At 48.1% G+C, this 6,158-nt stretch overlaps 1 annotated feature.

Annotated features, from left to right (window-relative positions):
- Nucleotides 4,360–4,459: an enhancer, noted in NCBI's record as "active region_14237". NCBI's record gives its function as "activates an Ori minimal core promoter by ATAC-STARR-seq in GM12878 lymphoblastoid cells {active_cell/tissue: GM12878}" and the evidence as "EXISTENCE:reporter gene assay evidence [ECO:0000049][PMID:35858748]".

Genomic DNA, 6,158 nt, shown 5'->3' on the forward strand with positions numbered 1-6,158 from the left:
GATCGAGGATCTTAATTGTTTGGTTTTTTTTTTTTTTTGAGACACAGTCTTGCTCTCTCTCGCCCAAGCTGGAGTGCAGTGGTGTGATCTCGGTTCACTGCAACCTCTGCCTCCCGTGCTCAAGCAATTCTCCTGCCTCAGCCTCCAGGGGAGCTGGGACTACAGGTGCGCACCACCACGCCCGGCTAATTTTTGCATTTTTAGTAGAGATGGGGTTTCACCAGGTTGGCCATGCTGGTCTTGAACTCCTGACCTCACATGATCTGCCTGCCTTGGCCTCCCAGACTGCTGGGATTACAGGTGTGAGCCACCCTACCCAGCCTTATTTAGGTATTTCTATAACCAGAAAGAAAAGTTCATAAAATTTTTGTTGGTGAAAATCAAAATATGATAACTGAGTAGTTTCTTAAATACAAGTTGCTACAGTTTGAATGTTTGTTCCTAATCCCCAGTGAAACAGTATTAAGAGGTGGAGCCTTTAAGAGGTGATTGGGTTATGAGGTCGTGCCATTCATGTGTTAATGGATAAATAGGTTATCATGGGAGTGGGACTGGTTTGGAGCTTGCAGTGAGCTGAGATTGCACCACTGCACTCCAGCCTGGGCGACAGAGTGAGACTCCATCTCAAAAAAAAAAAATAAATAAAATAAATAAAATAAAATAAAAAGAGGAAGAAAGGCCAGGCTCAGTGGCTCATGCCTGTAATTCCAGCACCTTGGGAGGCCAAGGCACGCAGATCACCTGAGGTCAGGAGTTCGAGACCAGCCTGGCCAACATGGAGAAATCCCATCTCTACTAAAAATACAAAAATTAGCCGGGCATGGTGGCGGATGCCTGTAATCCCATCTACTTGGGAGGCTGAGGCACGAGAATCACTTGGACCCAGAAGGCAAAGGTTGAGGTGGAGGTTACAGTGAGCCAAAGTCGTGCCACTGCACTCCAGCCTGGGCAACAGAGCAGGACTCCGTTTCAAAAAAAAAAGGAAGAGAGACCTGAGCTTGCACACAGCCTGCTAGCCATGTGATGCCCTGTGCTACCTCAAGACTCTGCAGAGTCCCCACCAGCAAGAAGGCCCTTGATTTTGGATATCTCAGCCTCCAGAACTGTAAGAAATAAATTTCTCTTCTTTAAAAATTGCCCAGTCTCAGGTGTTCTTTTATAGCGATGCAAAATGGACTAAGACCCAAGTCTATTCATAAGAGTGGAATTCTTTTGGGGGATAACATTTCACTTAATTGGGGCTCCCAGTTGTATTTCCTGTCGTCAATTGATGGTACATGTTCACCTTTGAAAAACCTTCCTGGCTCACAAAAACAGGCGGCCAGTTGGATGTGGTTTATAGATACGGTCATGCACAACTCAGATCTCAGCTCTGCTCTCAGGGGACTCAGTCTATGGCGGGGAAGAGTCCCAAAATCAGTAAACAAATATATCATCTCAAAGGTGTTATTAAGAAGAGGATGCTGAGACTATGATACAAGGGAGGGTGAGGCCCAGGCTGATAGGGTTGTCAGGAAAGGCTCTCGAGGTGAGGTCTGCACTATGATCTGAACAAGGGGCCAGCTCTAAACACCCTAAACAGGCAGAGAGAACAGTGTGGGATCATACTGTTTATTTAAAAAATATTTTTTATTTTTTATTTTTTTTGAGATGGAGTTTCACTCTTGTTGCCCAGGCTGGAGTGCAATGGCGTGATCGCGGCTCACCACAGCCTCCGCCTCCCGGGTTCAAGCAATTCTCCTGCTTCAGCCTCTCGAGTAGCTGGGATTACAGGCATGCGACACCACACCCGGCTAGTTTTTTATTTTTAGTAGAGATGGGGTTTCTGCCTGTTGGTCAGACTGGCCTCAAACTCCCAACCTCAGGTGATCCACCCGCCTCAGCTTCCCAAAGTGCTGGGATTACAGGCATGAGCCACCGTGCCTGGCCCTAAATTTTTTATATATTTTTTTGAGACGGAGTCCTGTCTGTTGCCCAGCCTAGAGTGCTGTGGTTCAATCTCGGCTCACTGCACCTTCCGCCTCCCACACTCAAGTGATTCTCCTGCCTCAGCCTCCTAAGTAGATGGGATTACAGGCGCCTGCCATCACACCCAGCTAATCTTTGTATTTTTAGTAAAAACGGGGTTTCACCATGTTGGCCAGGCTGGTCTTGAACTCCTGACCTCAACTGATTTGCCTGCCCTGGCTTCCTAAAGTGCAGGGATTACAGGCATGAGCCACCGTGCCCAGCCCATACTATTTGAAGAACAGTCAGTAATCCAGAGTGTGGGCACTTTTCATGCCAGGTAAAATCTACATGAAGAAGTTTTTTTTGTTTTTTTTGTTTTTTTTTTTTTTGAGACAGAGTCTTGCTCTGTCACCCAGGCTGGAGTGCAGTGGTGTGATCTCTGCTCACTGCAACTTCTGCCTCTGGGGTTCAAGCAATTCTGCCTCAGCCTCCCGAGTAGCTGGGACTACAGGTGCACACCACACCCAGCTAATTTTTTTTTTTTTCTGAGGAGTCTCACTCTGTTGCCCAGACCGGAGTCCAGTGGTGCAGTCTCTGCTCACTGCAAGCTCCACCTCCCGGGTTCACACCATTCTCCTGCCTCAGCCTCCCGAGTAGCTGGGACTACAGGCACCCGCCACCGCGCCCGGCTAATTTTTTGTATTTTTAGTAGAGACGGGGTTTCACCGTGTTAGCCAGGATGGTCTCAATCTCCTGACCTCGTGATCCGCCCACCTCGGCCTCCCAAAGTGCTGGGATTACAGGCGTGAGCCACTGCGCCCGGCCTACCCCCAGCTAATTTTTGTATTTTTAGTAGAGATGGTTTCACCATGTTGGCCAGGCTGGTCTAAAACTCCTGACCTCAGGTGATCCACCTGCCTCGGCCTCCCAAAGTGCTGGGATTACAGGTGTGAGCCACCGTGCCCGGCTACATCAAGGAGTTTTAACTTGGGATCTCCAATGGATAGATTTCAGAGAACCATGAACAAAATTGGTAGCAAAATAAATGCCTTTTTGAGGGTTGAAGATACACAGCGTTTACAGGATTCTTAATAGGCTCCTCAATCAGAACAGGTTAATGAATCTGTATTGTCATTTTTTTTTTTTTTTAGACAGAGTCTCACTCTGTTGCCTAGGCTGGAGTGCAGTAGCATGATCTCGGCTCACTGCAACCTCCGCCTCCCAAGTTCAAGAGATTCTCCTGCCTCAGCCTCCTGAGTAGCTGGGATTATAGGCATGTGCCATGACACCCAGCTAATTTTTGTATTTTTAGTAGAGACAGGGTTTCACCATGCTGGCCAGGCTGGTCTTGAACTCCTGACCTCGTGATCCACCCGCCTCGGCCTCCTAAAGTGTTGGCATGACAGACGTGAGCTGCTGCGCCCGGGCGATGTTGTGATTTTTGAGGCTGCATAGGATGCCATGGTGTGGACTCACCACAATTTACTGAAGTGAGACTCTAGTCTCCTGGCTTGGTTCCATTTTTAGGCCACTGTTAAAAGTGTCTTAAGTGTATATAGGGTTGGGCGTGGAGGTTCACGCCTGTAATCCCAGGACTTTTGGAGGCCAAGGCGGGCAGATCACTTGAGGCCAGGAGTTCGAGACCAGCCTGGCCAACATGGAGAAATCCCGTTTCTACTAAAAAATAAATAATTAGCCGGGCGTGGTGGCACGTGCCTGTAATCCCAGCTACTCGGGAGGCTGAGGCAGGAGACTCACTTGAGTCTGGAGGTGGAGGTTGTAGTAAGCCGAGACTGCACCACTGTACTCTAGCCTGGGCAACAGAGTGACTCTGTCTCAAAAAAAAAGTGTCTTAGTAGATACAAACCTTGTGTAGAGTCAAAGGGTGTGCAAATTCAATACTGAGATTGCTCAGCTACCTTCTAGAAAGTTAGTACACCCACGGTCACTACTTTCATACATTTGTTTCAGATTGTTTAAAATGCTGCTGGGTATGGTGGCTCATGCCTGTAATCCCAGCACTTTGGGAGGCTGAGGCAGGCGGCTCACTTAAGTCAGGATTTCGAGACCAGCCTGGCCAACATGGTGAAACCCCATCTCTACTAAAAATACAAAAATTAGCCGGGCGTGGGGGCAGGCACCTTTAATTCCAGCTAATCAGGAGGCTGAGGCAGGATAATCACTTGAACCTGGGAGGGGAAGGTTGCAGCAAACCGAGATTGCGCCACTGCCCTCTAGCCTGGGTGACAGAGCGAGACTCTGTCTCAAAACAAAAACAGAAACAAAAAAGCCATGTATCTGAGATTGAAAATATAAGCCTCAGAGGGACCTCTACCAAGCTCATTTCAAAGGGTCAAATCAGAATCTACTGGTCAGAAGAAAGCAGTAGAAAGAGCTGGTAGACTGGCTGCTGCAGATACTCTCCAGCAAGTAAAGTGGACACCTCGAGTGAGATGAGCCTTGTGAAGGGACTCACCTAAGCAGCAACATGGAGGGCCAGGTGCACTGAGGGGGTTCTGTGGCCCATATGTCTGCTAGTTGTGATTTCTTGAGTCTGGACCCCTTAATCGGAATGGTCTCATTGTGGTCAGGGTCAGATGGTAACTAAAGTTTTGTGGGGTTTTATTGAAGACAGGGTCTCGCTCTGTCACCCAGGCTGGAGTGTAGCAGTGCGATCTCGGCTCACTGCAACCTCTGCCTCCCACGTTCAAGCGATTCTCCTGCCTCAGCCTCCCAAGTAGCTGGGATTACAGGAGCGTGCCACCACGCCTGGCTAGTTTTTTGTATTTTTAGTCGAGATGGGCTTTCACTATGTTGGCCAGGCTGGTTTTGCACTCCTGACCTCAGGTGATCTGCCCACCTTGGCTTCCCAAAATATTAGGATTACAGGCGTAAGCCCTGCCACCTCCCCCTAGTCCCCCATCCCCCGGGTCTTAGCATTTCTAAGTAGCTCCCATGTGCTACTTAGTTACATACCTGTCATTTAGGCTGAGTGCTTTGAAGGTAGGAGGCTTACATATCTGTTTCCTGCTGCTTGACACAGCCAGTGCTTAGTAAATCACTAAACAAAAAGATTATGAATGAAAAGGACATGGGCAACAGTTTCAGCAGAAACTCAAACCCTTTCTGTCTGAAAGAAATCCTTTGCTGGGGATGGCTTAAGTAATGGGGAAAAATGGGTTCTGGAGCCAGATTTAAGCAGTTATGTAATCCCAGATGAGTGACTTGACCCCGTTGGGCCTCATTTTCACCTGAAAAACAAGGCTAATAAAACTCACAAAGGTATCGTGTGTGAAAAGCTCACCACTGAGCTGGGCATGTAGCAGGTACACAGTCTTGGCTGTCAATACTCAAAAATGGCTTCAGGCTGGGCACGGTGGCTCACACCTGTAATCCCAACACTATGGGAGCCAAGGCAGGTGGATCACTTGAGCCCAGGAGTTCCGGACCAGCCTGGGTAACACAGAGCCCCATCTCTAAAAATATTTTAAAAATTAGCTGGGTGTGGTAGTGTACACCTGGACCAGCTACTTGGGAGGCTGAGGCAGGGGACTGGAATGTAGGGTTTGGTGCTGCAGGAAGCTGTGGTCGTGCCACCGCAGTCCAGCTTGGGTAATAAGGTGAGACCCTGTCTCTTAAACCAAAAACATAACAGGCCAGATAGCTTGAGCCCCAGAGTTTGAGACTAGCCTGGGCAACAAGGTGAAACTCCATCTTTACAAAAAATACAAAAATTAGCCAGGTTTGGTGGCACATGCCTGTATCCCAGCTACTTGGGAGGCTGAGGCGGAAGGATCCCTTGAGTCTGGGAGGTTGTGGCTGCTGAGAGCCGGGATTGCGCCACTGTACTCCAGCCTGGGCGACAGAATGAGATCCTGTCTCAAAAAACATGAAACATACCAAAAAAAAAAAAAAAAGTTTCATAAGCACAGCTGCCACAATGTTCCTGGACTTCCCATGTTATTCCGTTCAATAAAGTCACGTCATTAATTTAGCTGTGATCCTATTTTCATTGTATCATCTAATCAATTCACAAATTGCACGTCCTTATTTTTGGCTCAGAAGAAAAAACAAAGGTTGCAGTAAATCCAGACGTGACAGCCAAGTTGGCTTGCTCTTTCTCCTCCTTCCACATTTTGTTGCTGGGCACACTGAAGACAGGGCCACTCAAAAAGAGACCCTCGCTGACAAATCGGGACCAATTTTGA

The sequence above is a fragment of the Homo sapiens genome, chromosome 19 (assembly GCF_000001405.40).
Source record: "Homo sapiens chromosome 19, GRCh38.p14 Primary Assembly".
In the NCBI taxonomy this organism is placed as follows: Eukaryota; Metazoa; Chordata; class Mammalia; order Primates; family Hominidae; genus Homo; species Homo sapiens.